The 17,740-nt window shown below is 37.7% G+C and overlaps 1 protein-coding gene and 2 long non-coding RNA genes across 5 annotated transcripts in view, besides 1 other annotated feature; 1 reads left to right on the plus strand and 2 right to left on the minus strand.

Annotated features, from left to right (window-relative positions):
- Positions 1 to 8,755, minus strand: part of ZRANB2 (zinc finger RANBP2-type containing 2) — a 17,745-nt gene extending 8,990 nt beyond the window's left edge. For all 3 annotated transcript variants that reach the window (NM_203350.3, NM_005455.5, XM_047434733.1), the window contains exons 1-5: positions 8,660 to 8,755; positions 6,376 to 6,428; positions 6,177 to 6,285; positions 4,515 to 4,597; positions 192 to 268 (exon numbers count right to left, since the gene is read on the minus strand). In NM_203350.3, coding sequence (NP_976225.1) covers positions 192 to 268; positions 4,515 to 4,597; positions 6,177 to 6,285; positions 6,376 to 6,428; positions 8,660 to 8,715 — 378 coding nt within the window. In that variant the 5' untranslated portion in view covers positions 8,716 to 8,755. The remainder of the gene's footprint in view (positions 1 to 191; positions 269 to 4,514; positions 4,598 to 6,176; positions 6,286 to 6,375; positions 6,429 to 8,659) is intronic.
- Positions 8,705 to 8,994: an enhancer, noted in NCBI's record as "active region_1198". NCBI's record gives its function as "activates an Ori minimal core promoter by ATAC-STARR-seq in GM12878 lymphoblastoid cells {active_cell/tissue: GM12878}" and the evidence as "EXISTENCE:reporter gene assay evidence [ECO:0000049][PMID:35858748]".
- ZRANB2-DT (ZRANB2 divergent transcript) overlaps positions 9,044 to 17,740 on the plus strand; it is a 156,400-nt gene continuing 147,703 nt past the window's right edge. The window contains exon 1 of the long non-coding RNA NR_046217.1: positions 9,044 to 9,133. This is a non-coding gene — a long non-coding RNA (ZRANB2 divergent transcript). The remainder of the gene's footprint in view (positions 9,134 to 17,740) is intronic.
- LOC105378795 (uncharacterized) lies at positions 14,044 to 16,676 on the minus strand. Its single transcript, XR_001737669.2, has 3 exons — positions 16,528 to 16,676; positions 14,664 to 14,804; positions 14,044 to 14,118 (listed from the first exon to the last, which is right to left on the minus strand). It is a non-coding gene; the product is annotated as an uncharacterized LOC105378795 (long non-coding RNA).

The following is a 17,740-nucleotide window of genomic DNA, read 5'->3' on the forward strand; positions in this document are numbered from 1 at the left end:
TTGTCAGCTGATAATGCATTAAACTTAATACATTTTCTAAAAAATTATTTTAGATATTTATGATTTCCTGAAAATGATCAGTTGCTGAAGACTCAAATTGCACTTAAAAAAAAGTTTGTTTTCCTTTGCATTTAAGAATTTTTTCTGTTTTTCTAATTTATATTCAACCTGAACACCAAAATATAGCTTACCTCATCATATTCACCATCAGATTCTTCTCTTTCTATATATTCAACATTTTCTCTTTCATTAAAACCACCACCATATCCTTAAAAAAGAGGGCACAAATTGTTACCCTATGACAATTGATTTAAATAATAAACACATCATGCCCAAATCTCCAGACAACAAAAAACATCTAATCAACAATGGCTGCCTACCCATCTAATAAATTACTAGTCTTTAGAAAGCATATTAGAAATCACCACAGAAAATACAGAGAACTTAGTTGTAACGTCATATGGCTGTACTTCTAGCTCTTTTCAATTCCAAATTGCCCTACATGACTTATTTAATTCATAGAAAGTATTGGTGGAAAACATCTCAAACTTCTGCTATAACCAAGTTTTAAAGGACTTTCCTCTACAGTTAATCGTAATTCTTCTGGGAAGGGTGGGCTCAGTAACAACCAAGCATTAAATTCCACTGTTTACCAACTGCAAATAGTCTGAAATCTTCTGATATTCTGAAATTTTGCTACTTTAAAATGTAGCAGGCCTTATTAGAGCTTGGAAAATTCCTAATTACACAGACAAACACAATAACACAATAAAGGCCATCCTTTGGCCCTGGTTTAATTGGTTTTAACACATAGGTAAAAGTCACACAGGTTCTCTGAAGTAGCCAGTAAATTTTGAAATTAAATGATTCTATTAAAAAGTAGTTGAGATTAGCAAACCACTATTCTCTCATGTCACAACCAATGTATACAATTCAATTGGCAGGTCTCTGACATAAGCTTAAAGGAGAGACTGGAATTAAAGAAAATGAGCTAGTTTTAGGAAAAGTGAGTTGACATATTTTGAAAAAGTCTCCCATTGAAAATTAAAGAGGTATGTGTTGATCAAGAGTAATACAATCTAACTGGTCACATACTCCAGAGCAGTATCAGTACAATAAGGCCGGTGATTTCCAGACTTAGGGACTTCATTCATCAGCAAAATATTAAATAGATTTATAATAAAAATATTTTATAAAAATTAGGACTTGTAACTTAAAATTTGCCTATCATATTTAAAAAAATATTTTTAAAATTTCACTTTCTGAAAAAAACCCACACTAATATAGCATCTTTTCTTCATTATACTTTGTACTAGTGAAAACTTCAAAATACTTGGAAGTTAATAAAAATATTTTTAAACATACGTGGGATCTAAATTGGAAATAATTTACATAGGAAAAAACTGAAAAGTAATATGACAAATATGGAAAGCTCAAAAATATAGTAAAATTAGAAAGTGAACTATAACTCTAGTAGTTAATTTTTCAAAAGTATGTAAATAAAATTATTTTAAGAGGCAGCAAAATAGTCTGCTGACAACAAAGACATTGGTATGTTCTATGAACCCATACAATATAAATCTAGCTCATTAACTCTGTATAAATGGAAAATACACTAGCTCCCTATCGTGAAAAAACTGAAGCATACCATTTTCACTGAATACCTGAGATAGTGGAATCAATGGAATGATATGTATGTTTCCGTCATTCTACTAATTTCAAGCACTTCAGATAATGCTGTATAAATTGGTTTTATTTCCACTCTTGCCGCCACCTCTCCTAATTACTTCTCCACAAACAGAAAGAAGAGTGTTTAATCCATTACTCAGGTAACTCATCTTTCACTTCTTAGCTTAAGCATAGCTTTCCTAAAGAGGACTTCATTAATCTTTGGTGCTGTAAGACTCTTTTGCTCACCTAGGTATCCCCAGCACCTTGCACAGTGGCCTATAAATGTCTTCAAGGAATGAATACAGAAAACACAATTCTGGAATCATCTAATGAATTTGAATTTCTATGGAAAGCTTTAGAAAGCAACCAAGAATTTCCGTAGATTTTAGTAAGTCTTACAATGAATATATTTTCAAATTTGTCTCACAGTATAATGTAAAAAGCTGAGCAAGGGCCAAGAAAGAATCAAACACAGGTTTAAAATGAATGTTTGGATCAAGATTGTGACAATGGAAAAAAAGCGGGAAAGGGGGATGAATATAACATGTACTTCAAAGGAAGAACTAAGGCACTAACAGGAAAACTCTGTGATTCTACACCCTGAACAATTAATTCAACTCCTGAGAACATATTCTAAGGAAAGAATCCAAAAGAATAAAAATCACAATGTACTAAGTTTGTTTTTATGCCATTATCTTTAATGGTTTTTTTTTTAAAAAAAAGCTGACAAAAACAAAAATAATCCTAAATCCTGAAACAGAGAAGTAAATTACTGAACAATTTGATGGAATTATGCAGGATAAGCCAGCAGCAATCTTTCAGAGGTAGTGAATCACATTCTCTTTTATTCATATCCTGTCTCATGCTTAGGAAATGCTCCCCAAACCCTGCACTGCTTTATTACAAATAGCCAAAAGAAAGCGGAAAGCAACAGAGTAAGTTATTTCACACCTTCAACTGTTACCAGCAAAGACAAATACTTGTAGCAAGGGAAGTGAGAAAGGTTCAAGACACCAGAATGACTGAAAAATGACAATAAGAAAAGTGAGAAGTTATCAAATAAAATTTGCTTACTTCTCTGTTAAACTATAGTTCTTGTGATAATGAAACTATAAAGGAGTCAGGAAATAGGTCAAAGTTTTTTTAAGTTTTGAAACTGTTAAAAAGATTTTAGACTTTATCCTAAAAGCAATCAAAATGGGTTTTTTAAAAAAGGATTTTAAATTTGGAAATAAAAACATGTAGAAACCAGCTAGGTGGCTATTTTTCCACAAAACATAGTAATTCTTTGCCTAGGGTGGTAATGGAAAAGAATTTTTGGGGTATGGGAGATATCAAGAAAGGGCTATTTAGGCTAAGAAGGACATCTAGATTTCCAGCTTATGTAATAAATGTATGGTGAGTGGTACTAATCATGAGAAAGAGATCATTGGAAGAGGGTCAGGTCCCAGGGGTAAAATCACAAATTCAGTTTGAATATAATGAGTTTGACATTTGCATGGCAATGTTGAATAGGCAGCTGGATATATGGGTCAAAGAAGTCTGAGCTGGAGACATAAACTTGGGTTATCATGGCAAAGTTACTTAAACTTTGGGCTTAGAAGAAAACACCATGAAAATAGAGGAAAGAAAGAGGGCCAGGGATGGCTGCGAAGAATCCCAACATCAGTGGCCAAAAGAAGAGAAACCTGCAAAGGAGACAGAATAAACAATCAATCAAACGGGGGTTGGTGGGGGCGGTGAAGGAGGTACGGTGCATACCTTAGGTGAGGGAAGAAAAAAACGAGATCCTTGTCAGAAGGCCTTAACTTACCCAATCGGTGGAAAGGCAAAATCACTTCCTAAGAATAAGGCAGGATTTGAGGGTTGAAAGTGGCGGTTGGGCTGGGGAAGGGGGGATCAAGGACATTATGTTATAATGTTCTCACATATGAGAATGTAAGTTTTAAAAAAGGGGTGGGGGGGGATAAAAGTAGAATTTCTGTTGAAGTCTGGAAGAGCTAGGTCGAAAAGATTGAACAGTGGCCCTCTGATCCCTAGAAACTAAACAGACAATGAAAACGGCCTAAAGTTAGAGAGGCAAAGAAAACAGGGAAGCAGTTCACCAAGCCTAAGTCTGACAGGGTGACTAGATATAGAAGGAATCCTTTGATCATGTGACATATAAGCAGTTGAAAGACAAAATCAGATTTTAAGTAAACAGATAATGTGGTTGGGCTAATTGGTGATAATGGAAAAACTATATGCTATTAGGTAAACATTTTCATTTCACCAGTAACATACAAAGCCAATGATCAACTATTATTTAGGCCAATGATTATCAAACACCATCCAAAAAACCTGCAGATGTTGGAAACCCACCGCCAAATAACTTTAACAGTTCTGCATTTTGCAATCGATATTTGAAAAAGTTTTTCAGATAATCTAGCACATAGCTTAAGTTTCAGAATTACTGCCAAAGCTTTAGAAGAACACTTTAAATGGTGTGGCTTTGCCCTTTAAGTCACAGCAGGCTATCAAAAGAATTTAAAAATGGTATCATTATATCATTACTAATAACAAACATGCAAACCAGTGAAAGGGAGAGGAGGAGAATATTTCTGAAAGTATTCTTATGTCCCTCCTTGTTAGGATAAAGGTCCCTAACACTGTTATTTTATAAATTGTGAAACAAAAGATTTGTATGTGTGTATGGGGGGAAAAAAATCCCAGTAACAAACATTCAGGGCAGAATAAACAGAATCCTCACTTACTGTGGCTCTTACTCGAAGGTGATACAATTATCGTTTCAATATTTAGTGCTTTAAAAAAAATCATTTAGTTACAATGTGGTTTTATCATACCTGTTCTTTCTTCTAATTTAGCATACTTTGGAGTATTACACATATTACACTCTGATCTTCTGGCCCAATTCACATTGCTGCAACTTTAGAAGTGAAAAATACTAAATTAGTAGGCTATAATATAGATGAATATCAAATTTTTAGATATTTTACAATTTTAAAATAAAAACTAGGATGAAACCACTGTCAAAGAAATGTTTATTAAGTGGTAATGTAAACAAAGAAAATGTACAGTGGCCTGAAGAGTAAATGTGGGTTCCAACAACGGACTGAACCATTTAAGCAGAGAAGCAAAATTTATATAGTATGAAAAGTGCCTCTGTCATTTTGAGAAGTAAATGACAAATTATAACCACAGGTCGAGTATCACTAATCCACAAATCCAAAATCCAAAAACGTTCCAAAATCTAAAACTTTTTGAGAGAGGACATGACACTCAACAGAAACGCTCACAGGAGCATTTCAGATTTTCAGATTAGGGATGCTGAACCCACAAACATTTCAGGTAAGTGATACTGAACCTGTATAGAAATTCTGATGTCTTATGAAAAAATATAACTTTAAATTAACAGCTCCACTAATTTCTCAGTCTCTGAATATACCTTAAAGAGTATGGTTATACCCTATAAATAATATTAATTTATTTTTTTGAGGTCTCAGTTCAAGCACTGAATTCCAAAGCATACCAAATCCAGTGACCAAATCTGTAGCTGGAAACTTTTCCAATACAAATTTATAATCCTGAGGATCAGAAATTTATTTAAGACTCTAGGGTCAGGAATAGTGGCCCATGCCTCGCCTGTAATCCCAGCACTTTGGGAGGCCAAGGCAGGCAGAATGCTTGAGCTCAGGTGTTCGAGGCCATCCTGGGCAACATGGTAAAACCCTGTCTCTACCAAAAATATAAAAAAATGAGCCAGGCATGGTGGCATGGGCCTGTGGTCCCAGTTACTAAGGAGGCTGAAGTGAGAGGATTGCTTGAGCCTGGGAGGTAGAGGTTACAGTGAACTGAGATCGCCCCACTGCACTCCAGCCTGGGTGACTGAGTGGGACCTCATCTCAAAAACAAAAAATACAAACAAACAAAAAGAGAAATTTATTTAATACTTTTTTGATTTAGACCTCTTTCATACACATAGGATTCATCTGCATAGAGAAAAGATGGAAGTTGGAAAAATCAATGAAGAATTAAATCTAAGCCTGAAAATAAAAATCATTAAGAAACCTACCTATAATTAGACTTAATTACTTACGGCACACAACTTATGAATCTAACATTATTTTGTAAACAGGCAAAATGAGTTTTGTGGTGTATTTCACACTAACTATACAGTCTAAAAATTGGGATTTTTCAATAAAGGAAGTAATAGGCCTTAGTACTTTTAAGTACCACCACCCCCCGATTGGTTTTGAGCTTACCATAAGCATTTGTTTACTGGTATACATAATCCATCATAGTGACAACTATTACCATTAAAAAATGCAAAGAATAATTTAAAACTTCTTTATACTATACTTAAAGATGAGACTGAATAACAATACCTTGGATTTAAAAGGTTACCCTGGCTTGTCAATGTCACTAATAAGAGCTGTAATATAAACAAGTAGTGGCCAGATCTATTATTTTGGAAGAAAGAGCAGACAATAATTTAAAAAACATACGTTTTACATTGCCAGTCATTAGCACTAAATAGGCCTCGGCTCTTTTCTGCAAGTGTCTTTCCTATTTCAGTGCCCCCAGCTTTCATCATCTTGGCCTCAGTTGTTTTCTCTGAAAACAGAAAAATCATGCAATATGAACCTGGAGAAATAAATAAATGATACATATACAGTATAAATAGAATCTTCTTTAAATACTTACCCCGACCACATCGATTACAGCTGGTTCTTCTAGCAAAGTTTACATTTCCACATCTAAAAACAGATTAAAAAGCATTTATAAAAATTTAAATTTGTAAAATTTTACATTTTAACTTGTCCTCACTACATATCTGGAATTCATAACTTCTAATCCATCTTAGTCATGTTAATGTCAATGTTACCAACAAAAAACTCCACACAATTTACTGGGGGAAAAATACTTGATTGGAGCCACAAATTCAGAATAAGATATCCCAATCCTCCATTTACCAGTCATGTGATCTTGATTAAGTTACTTAGGATCTCTGCCTCAAGTCCTCACATTAGCACATATCATTAGTTATAATCCCTTTACAAAGTTGAAAGTGAGAGTTAACTCCACTTCACTAATTACTTACAAGCTACCAGGGAGTTTTAAACCCTAGCGGTGGACCAATGAGGAAAAAAACTTATAAATCAAGGAGGGCTTCATGGATCTTAATGAAATTATCTTTTTACATGCAGTAGGTAGGATGCTAAGGAACCAAATATGATAGGTTGTACTGACTAAAAATACAAAAAGATTCAATAATTGTAAGAAAACTGAGTTTTACAGGGCATTTCTCAAACCTCTGAGACTTCGCTGAAAAAAATGACACAACCACCAAAACCAATAATCTCAACACATGTAGTACAGTAAGACTTTATGCTTATACTCAACAAACTCAAACCTAAAGAATTACTGGTTCACTCACATGACCTTAGAAGTGTACGTGTATATTGGTAAAAGTATGTTAAATGCTCTGGATAACATGGAATGCTTAAACTTTAAAAAGCTGATTTTTAAGGCATTATACTAGAATACAATACAGATGTGAAGTATGGGATGACACTAAAGTGAAACACTCTAAATAATATTTAGGTTAAGTTTTTCCCCTAAAAATATTCCTTTTAACTCCATTAAGCATGGAAAATATACTCTGAAAATTTATCCTGCATTTAAACATATTGTACAAACAACATTCTATTCATATATTTGTAAATGAGTTGAAATGAACTCTCATTGAGAGTCCTACCTCTGGGTGTGCTGTCATTAAAGACACTGACAAAAGCACATTATTTTACAGGTAACAACAAAGTCAGAAGTTGTTGTTCTAAATCTTTTGAACGTTTTCAATAATGTCTTACCACTCAGAGCAATACTATCCATAACATATAACTTTGGTTCTATTCAGTATCATTTGTTAGGCTTGAACTACTCCTTCAGGTCATCTTAATATCAAATTACTATCAATAGCCACCAATTAGAATTTGCTACACGTCACTGTTTACACACCCTATCCATGTTATTTCATGTTTTCATTAAAAAAAAAATTCTATTCCTTTTTTAGCAGTTAAATAAGTAATAGAATTTTAACTAAACCCAGGTTTATTTCAAAGTTTTTGCTTTTTACAATCAAAACCTATTTGTGGCTAACTTAGGTACAACAAATAAAAGGCTTTTATGTGAACATGAGTTGTACATTAAATTATTTTCCATGTTATTTCCGAATAGATACACCTATTTGTGCACCCTTCAAAAAAAATCTGATTAACTATCTAGTCGAGTACTGGCTTTGGCAACAATGTCAAAAAGCAGAGCCACTAACACACGTGCTTCTCTGCTGCAGGCATCTTAAGGGCTGAGTAGGCAAAAACACAGGCCTCTTCCCTCCTTTTCGGCTCTAAGGAGGCGAAAAGCCCAATTCTTGTGGAGAAATGATCCACAAAGAAAATGTCAGAATTTCCCAAACCGAAGAGGGTAGAGCTTCCGGAAAAGGGGAAAATAGTATGGAGGAAAAGTTTGAGTAAAAATACAAAACAAGGTGAACTATAAGAGGCAAAAGGACGAGTGCGAGAAAGCAATATTTTCCGTGAACAAGAGTAAAGTTCTGCAGAGAAAAGTCACGTGGGGGAGATCCAACACCAAGCTGGCCTGACTGGAGAGGTTTCCTATCGCTAAAACCTGGCCGGGGCGGGGGAGGGGGGTGGGGGCAAAAAGGTAGGCCATCTCGCACTCTAAAAAGAGAGGCTACCTTGCGGAGGTAATGTCGAGGAAACGCTGAAGACATATCTAGAACAAAGGCTCCCGGAAAGACCTCTCTCGTGAGGAGATTGGGAGCCTTCTTCCCGCCAGGGAACTGGCGGTTCGCCGCCTCAACCCGTCTTAAGGCACAGAAAATCATAAAAAAGGAAAATGCCGGACGGACCTCGGAAAGCTTCCACTAACAAACTCCGTCCCAATTCAGGACCCTTCTTGAACTCACTTTTTGTCAGGGCAAATCCAGTCCCCGTCACTGACTCGGAAATTCTTGGTCGACATCTTGAACGCCACCAGCACAGCCACCCGCAGCTATGTCTTCACAGGAGGAAAACGGGCCGGGGACTTTCGGCAACTCGGGGCTGTCCCCACACTGCCTGACTCGCGCCTACTACTGTGTCAGGGTTTGATAATGAGGGAACTAGCCAGGAATTCAGCTTGTACGTTGTTGTCCAGACTAAGATGCCTGTGCTACTGTTTGTTAGATGGAAAAGTTAAAATACAAATATCTTTTCTAGAACTAAACTCACAGGCGCCATAAGGACAACCCAGGCAGGAGGCCTTCGTGGCACTAGAAGCCTCGGAGAGCCCCCTACAGGTGGGAGGACCCAAGAGTAAAGTACTTCCGCTTCCTTAGGTGGAGCTGGAAAGGTGGAGGCGGAAGTGACTGATCAATTCAGGGGCGTGGGGTTCGTTTAGGGTAAGAGGCGGCTCGGGCTCTTCAAGTGTTTAGAGAAATTATTTTAATAAGGCATAAAAATTCTGTTATTTCATACACATGGGATGTCGTTTGGAAACCTATTTTTATATATACATAAATAGGTGTAACAGATAAGTAAGCAACTTATACATGGGAACCAGCTGGTAATTTTAAAACTGAGACATTGTCAACACTGTTTAAATTACCAGTGTCTTTTCTGATACCATCCCATTACTTTCTTCCACAGATAACACTTTCCCATATTTGGGATTTATTCTTTTGCTTTTTAAAAATTTATGTACGTTGTTAGTCCAAACTGCACCATTTTTGTAAGCCCCCCTGCCATTTTGCAGACCTTAGTCAAAGTGAAACATTCCACGGGGTTCGGGCGTGAGAAACAGGCTGCCTCTTATACTCTGCTGGGAGAAAGTACCACATTCCACTGGAACAAGGGCCAGAGCCGCCTCGTCCTGGGAACACCTTATCAACATGTTCCCAGGAAGCAGGCCATGGCCCCCCAGACCACTCCCACCCAGGCCTATAAATCACCCCAGCCTGTAAGAAGCAACGGGCACTGGCATTAAGCTGGTCTCCCACCTCTGTAGGTCTTATGCTGGACATAAATCCTGTATTTGTTGTTAAGCCACCCTCTCTTTCTTTAATCCTTGCCTTCCCTTCAAAACCTAACATACATGTATGTTTAATTTTATGAGCTGTGTAAGCATAGTTGATTCTGTACTCTTTTTTTGTTCATTATGCTTCTAAATTAATCCTAGGTAGTTGCATGTAGAAGTGTATAGGTGTAATTCTTTTATTTGCACTGATGTATACTGATACTATTCCGTTTTGTGGTTTTGTGACAGTTTATTCCTTCTGTTTCTCAGGCTTGGTATTACAAACAACACCAGTATGAGCATTCTTATGCATAGATTCTGGTATATAAATGCATTAATTTTTTTTAGAATACAGCATATACAGTCATGCCTCACTTAATGATAGGGATATGTTCTGAGAAATGCCACTTTCGGCAATTGTGCTGTTGTGTGAACATCATAGAATGTGCTTACACAGGCCTAGCAGGTATAGCCTACTACACACCTAGGCTATATGGTATAGCCTATTGCTCCTAGACTACAAACCTGCATTTAGTACATCTTATTGTACTAAATACTGTAGGCAGTTGTAACGCAGTGGTATTTGTGTATCTAAATATAAAGGTACAGTAAAAATATGGTATTGTAATCTTATGGGACCACCTTTGTATATGTGGTTCATCATTGACTGAAATGTCTTTATGCAAGTATGATTATGTTTAGGAGAGAAATTGTTCAACTACTCTCTAGTTATGATTGTTGCTTTAAAATCTGTATTATAACATTTTGGTCATCTAGGAGTTAGCAGGTGTTGATTATATTTTCCCTTGCAAGTTGGTCACATTTTTCCAGTTCTTTTATACTGTGTAATTGTGGATTTTATCTAGGACATTTTGAACATTATGTTGCATAGACTGAGTCCTGTTAAAAGCCTTTAGGGAATGTTGATTTTTTTTTGTTTTAGAAGGCAATCGATCCAATTTGGTTCAGGTCAAAAGTTCGGTCTCATCTTCTATGAGTACTGGTTCCATGTCAGCTGGGTTTTCAAAGGCTTTGCTGTGTCCTATACCTACAATACTCAGGGATTATTTGGGGATGTTAGCAGTAGTTTAAATTGAAATTCAGTTTTGCTATGCTATTTTGTGTTTGTTCTGCACGTGTTCAGTTTAGGTGTGAACACAGAACTTGTATAGGTTCATACATAGAATTAGGGGATCCTCTTCTCTAGCTCTCTCCTCTTACATTCTTCTCCTTTTGTCTCGCAAGGTCCTCTCACCAGAAATATGAGGTTCCTCTTGGAGTTTTAGCAGCCTGGCATAGCAGCTGACTAGGGCAGATTCTGAGACAAAGCAGTGACAGAAAAGAGAGAGAAAAAATGTGGATTCCCTCTACACTCTTCAGACCACAAAGGCCTCCTTTTCTACTTCCTTTGTCCATAAAAACAGAGCTTCTGTTAGTATTGTAGATACCCAAGCCTAGGGCCTCACTCTTGGGCCAATGCCCAGAGAGAGAGAGAGAGAGAGAGAGAGAGAGAGAAATTAAAAAAAAGAAAGAAAAACCAGAAGAGGGGGAGCTAAGTATTCCCCCGACTAACTTTTGGCTCACAAAAGCCCCCTATCCCCATTCTGGCAAGACATACAGGTTTCTGTCGGTTTTTCCTGTCACCACAGTTTCACTAGGTGTTGGGCCTTAGGTCAAAAGCTGTGAGAAAAGAGGAAAAGCAAACATACAGAACATTTCTCCAGGTTTTCATTCTCCACTCCAATTTACCTGTTTTTGTTTTTGTTTTTCCAGAGTCTTCAGGCAGTTGCTTTTGGTATTTTGTCTTGAGTTTCTCACTGTAATCATTAGGAAAGATAGGTTATTGTGGGCTTTCTATGTCTTGGTTGGTACTGCAAGTCAGGGGAATGCAAATTAAAACCATATGATACCATTATGCATTCATCAAACTGACTAAAATGAAAAATCAGAGAATACTAAGTGTTGGAAAGCATGTAGAGCAACTGTAATTCTCATACATTGCAAAAAGTAATTGATACATCTACTTTGGAAAATGTCGGAATATATTAAATCTGAACATTTTCGTACACTATGACCCTGAAATTCCATTTTTAGGTATATTACCAACAGGAATGCACATAATGTTCACTGAAGATGTATATAGTAATGTTCAGAGCTGTACTATTCAAAATAGCCCAAACTGGAAGCTTCCCAATTGCTTATCAGTGGTAGCCTAGATAAATAAATTGTCATATGTTTACACAGTTGGAATGTGTAATACAGTAGCAAGAATAACAAATTACACTCAGATTATTGAACAGTATTTCACTCACAAATACAGTCTTGAATTGAAAAAAGCAAGACACAAAATGGCATATGCTATATGACTCCATTTACATGAAGTTCAAAAGCAGCCAAACTAATCTTGGATAGTGATCACCCTTGGGAGTAGAGAGGAGATAGTGACTTCATGGGGTCAATAGGAATAATAGATGCCAAAGCTGGTAGATGACATGCAGTTAATGCAACAACAGTTAATCAACTGTACTAACTGTAATTAGCAAAATTTTTCTGGGAGAATTATGTGTCAAGAGAAAAATCCTCTATAGTAAGTCTAGGATAATGAACAAAATGCGTGAATACATCTGATAATGACCAGAAGAGGTTATTTGAGTTCAAGGACTTTAGCTGATTTTTCAAAGAGAAATATTCCTACAAAAGAAATTCATTTCAGCTATCCTAATTTGAAAGAAAAATTCTACCCATTCTCTTTATTCTTATTATATGCTCACCAAACAGCCCTCTGATAATTTGTCTTCTCTCCTGAGCACACTTAACCTACTGTGGTGAAATTCCCAGAGTGAATTTATCCACACAAGTTGTTCATCTGGATTAAGCTCTCTTTATAGATTGAGAAATTGGCACTCTGAAATGCATATCAGTTGTTTATGGGTCCTCTTAATATGTTGGTCCCCAGGAGATTAGCTCTGGTGGAAATGGTAAAGTTGAGTTTCTGAACCTACAAAGCTAAGAATCTGGCTCTAAATATTGCATTAGGGCTCACTCTGCTTGCAAGTAACAAAAATAAAAATAAAATGACTTAAACAACAAAAAGGGGGAGCATATTATAAAGAGAAGGTGGTGTTTGATGGAATGCCAGAGCAGGAATGCAGTTTCAGAAATATCCTAAAAGAAACTATCCTCTATTCAAGCAGCACCCTTTCTCTGTCTCTTTGCTGAATTTGTTCTGCATATGCGTTATTCTTTCCTCAGACTAGCTTTTCTGTTACCTAGTTCAGAAGACTGAAAAAAAAAAAAAAAGCAATACTGCCCTTAGACCTGGGCAACCAGGGCTCCTAGCCTGGTCCTGCACCTGGCCTTCCTTGAGGTGCCCTAATTCCCCTCGAGTGTCTTGGACCATTCAGCAGGATGGAGCCAAAATGTAGTACTATGTGGGTCCTGGACAGTGGAAGTCCTGAGATGTTCTATTGCTTTTGGTGGTGGGGACCAGCCAGGTCAGCAGGACCTGTTGGGTGGGACAGTCCTAAGCCTAAAGAAAATGTTATTGGCTTCTTTGTTTCTTCCCTTCAGGCCCTCCTGACCATATTGCCCTCTTAACATGCTCAGGGTCCACCAGTGCAGCAGGATCTCTGGTACTAGCACCTGTAGGGTGGCTTAGGGCCAGATGGCCCTGCCAGTTCCTGGAGAGCAACTTGGAGGGCCAAAGCTCCCACTGGCTGGGGCATTATTTCTTTCATGGCATTATTTCTTTCATCGCACAAGTTTGGGCCACCAGAATGATGCTTTTTCAGTGGTTTGAGGGTGATTTTCACTAATATCAGACACAGGATGAGTTCAGTGCTCTGGGCTACCACTGTCCCCCCATGCATCCTTGGTCTGGAGCTGACTGTGTGAGCCAGTATGTGGGCTCTTCCCTGACTGGTCAGACCAAGGAACCACCTCTAGTGGAGAGCACTTGAAAAAGGTATGTGTGTCTGCAGACATCCTTTATCCTGGGGTCTCCTGCCGTCACCCTGCTGCTGGCATTAGGGCAGTCACACCACCCCTCTGCAAGCTCCGTGTCACATATCAGACACTACTTATCATGGCAATGCTTGCCTCCTTTCAGGGCTTTTGAGACTGTAGCAACACAAAGCCAATGGGCCATTTCAATCAATGTCTTTTTTACCTCTAATAAACATGGTGACATTCTCTTCTGGGTTGGTTGTAAGCCTTGATGAACAAGTGATGGACACTGGTTGCCCAAATGGGATGGCTCTTTTCATCTATCCAGGGCCTCTCATCTATCTTCACCACTGATAACTATATATGGAAAGCAGGGCTGCAGCCAACCTTAAAAGAGTCACATTCTAGGGATGCAGTGATTAAGGTCTAGACAATTCAAGAGAGGACATGGTTGAGAGATATGCCATTCTATGTTAATGCAGTAAGTTCTATAAATAAATGCTATTAATACATTCCAAACAATAAATTTAACATGACCACAGTATGAATAATTGTTTGCATTTTCCTGCATTCTCTGTGTGAGACCTGTGTTTGTGGTCATCATGAACAAATACACTAACACCATTTGAGTCATTAGTATCCAGTGTTCACAGGCAGTACAATGGATGTTGAAGCAATATGAGTAATGCTGTAATCAGCATTAAATAAATGGCATTATGGAACTGCAGAGGCAAAAAGATCTATACGGTTCCAATTATAATAGGACCTGAAGAGCCATTGCATTGTGAATGATAATAGTGTTACTACCTTTTCCTTGCAGTGGTAGATATGAAATTGAACAGGAATGGTTTCTTTAGTAATAATTAATACAAATAGGTGACTCCAAGAAACTAGAAAAAATTTTTATGTTCACCGATTGGACAATAAGTAGCTATGTTTCCTTACCTTGACTCTCTTCAGCTTTTCCTTACCTTGACTCTTTAACAGCAAATCACTCCATCTCACATGGGTCCATGACTTTTATAATTATTTTTGTAATCAGATGATTGCTATAGATAGATTCTCTCTCTCCTCGAACATTTCCTCAGGGCTTTTAATATCTACAGGCAACCCTGGACAGAAGATAGTGTTGCTAAAGTGTTCAAGTTTCTATCTCTCTTCCATTCAAGAAATTCCCACCTGGAGCCTCTTAGCCCTGTCTTCAAATTTCCAGACTCTAGTTGCTCTGGCTTGAGTCAGGTGTGCACCTCTATCCAATCAGCTATGTCAGTTTTTCAGGATCATGGTGTAATGTATAGACCTGACTGCTAGGAGGCACTCCTGTGGGACAAGGGGAGTAAAGGGTAGTGCCCACAGAAAAGAAAAAGCAGTTGGTTCTTGTATTGGTTTTCTAGTGCCAAGTAACAAATTACCACAACCTTAGAAGCTTAAAGTAACATGTATTTGTTATCTCTCAGTTTCTGTGGATGAGAAGTCTGGGCATAGCTTAATTGGATTATCTGCTTAGGGTTTCACTAGGCAGCAATCAAGGTGCCAAGTGGAGCTGCAATTTCATCTGAAGCTTTTAGGCATATTCAGGTTGTTAGTGGAATTTAGTTCCCTGAAACTTTACATCAGAGGTCCCTATTTTCTTGGGAGATGTTGGCCAGGGGGTTCTCTCAGCTTCTAGAGACTGCCCTCAGGTCCTAATTACATGGCCATCTCAAAACGGAGTTTACTTCTCCAAAGCCAGCAGGAGAATTTCTCTCCAGTTGGCTGCTGCTGCTGCCACTACCATTACTACTATATACTACTACTATAACTATTACTGCTATAAAGTCTTATATAATATAATGTAATCAGAGGAGAAATGGTTCCGTCCCCTTTGCCATATAACATAAACTAATCAAAGGAGTGCCATCTCATTGTATTCACAGGTCCTGCCCACACTCACAGAGAGGGTATAATACAGGGCATGTACACCAGGACACAGAAATCTTGGGAGCCATCTTGAAATTCTGCCAACCATGGCTTCTGAATAGGCAAATACTCCAAAGGCCACTACAGTTGTTGCTTTCTCAAATCATTGAGACATCCTTCTTAAACTGATGGTCTATATTTTTCTCTTTAACTTTATTTTAAGAATGGCATAGTTTATGGGATGTGTGTGAGTATTCATGGACACTCAAGTCTCACATACCCCAAATATACATCTCTAAGAATATTTTGTCACACAGATTTCTTTCAAATTTAAAATAAATGTGCTGAAAGAAATGACAAGACGTTATTAAACATTGTTTACTTAGTACGTGTTATGATTTGACATTCTTAGAAATTCACTACATTAAAAAATGTGAATACATGTGCGCACACACACACACACACACACACAACAACAACTCTCCTACAACTTAAATGCTCTTTTCATTCTGTAGAAACCATTAATAGGGAATTTTTGCCAGTTGGTGTTTCAGAGTCCTTTATAAATTAATTATAGTATTTACCAGCCATGTGGGAGTGAGAAGTCTAATTAGGTCAAGGAGGCTGGCCCTGCTGGAGACTGAGGGCAAAAGCATATATACGGTGTCAGTCACAAATCTACTGCAGTTCTTTCTTGAGCACGTATGTTTAAATAAAAAACTGGAACAATTCAAATGCTACATACAAAGTTATGAGAAAAATCATATCACAATTAGAATAAAAGCAGGTTGAAGTTTGCCATCTATCTATAGCAAAAATAAAATGTTTTTACTGACGAAGGATTTCACACACCTGTGCCATGCCACAGCAGGTATGGCATGTTCAATTCTGACAACACACTCATTTATTTATTTGTCCATTCATTCATTGACTTACCCACTCAACAGGTACAGGACTAGATATTGCAGCTATAAAGAAGATTATGTCACAGTCTCTTTGTTTAAGGAGCGCACAGAGTGCCGATGCATATGGATGTGTAAATAGTGAGAAAACTGTGTTGTAAGTATAGTATAGGTATAATCAGAGGATATTATGGGTGTTCCCAGGAAGAATGACTCCCTCAGTTCATGGGTGGGGAAGGGAAATGCATTAAGGATACTTCATCACAAGTAACAGAAACCAAAGCTGGTTAAACTTTATCCTTAAAGGACTGGGATAAGAGCGAGGCAAATAACACAAACAGGGCATGACATTTAAGGAGGCAGTCTCAGGTGCTGAGCCTGGAGTTATCACTTGAGAATGAGCGCCTCCTTAAATGTTGAACCCTAGGCATCTGGCTCACCCTAGTCCCCATCCTGTTATTCCTTCAGTCTTACCTTCTTCAAAAACTCTCATCCCCCACAGTGAAAAACAGTTGAAAAACTGTTTACATCCTAGTGTAAATAACTAAAAACAGTTTAAAGTGTCCTTTTTTTTTTTTTTTTTTGAGACGGAGTCTGGCTGGAGTGCAATGGCACGATCTCGGCTCACTGCAACCTCCACCTCTCCACCTCCTGGGGTCAAGCGATTCTTCTGCTTCAGCCTCCCGAGTAACTGGGGTTATAGGCATGCACCGCTACTCCCAGCTAATTTTTGTATTTTTAGTAGAGATGGGGTTTCACCACGTTGGCCAAGCTTGTCTGGAACTCCTGATCTCAAGCGATGCACTCATCTTGGCCTCCCAAAGTGCTAGGATTACAGGCGTGAGCCACCGCACCCTGCCTAAAGTTTACATTCTTATAAAGGGATTTTCAGTTAAATCAAGTATTAAACCATGAAAGAAAAACTCAAATGTTTACAGGGTTCAGGCAGTAACATAAATCAATGATGCAGGCCTGTGTAAAACACTAGGGAATGAGGGAAAATGTGATGAGCTGTTCAAAGCCTTTCAAATTCAACCTAAACATAAATGTTGTCTTGGCCAAATAAAAAGTTCTTTTGGATTATCAGGTCAGTAGGATAGTTGTTTGTGTACCCTGCCTGTTAAAGAAATTCATTTGCTATGTTAGAACTTTAGATTTCTGTAAGAAAATGGTTATGAGGACATAAGCCTAGATGGAAAACCCTTGGGATATTCTTTCTCCTCTTAAGGGTTCATTGTGAGGCCCTA

The sequence above is a fragment of the Homo sapiens genome, chromosome 1, assembly GCF_000001405.40.
Source record: "Homo sapiens chromosome 1, GRCh38.p14 Primary Assembly".
NCBI classification, from domain to species: domain Eukaryota; kingdom Metazoa; phylum Chordata; class Mammalia; order Primates; family Hominidae; genus Homo; species Homo sapiens.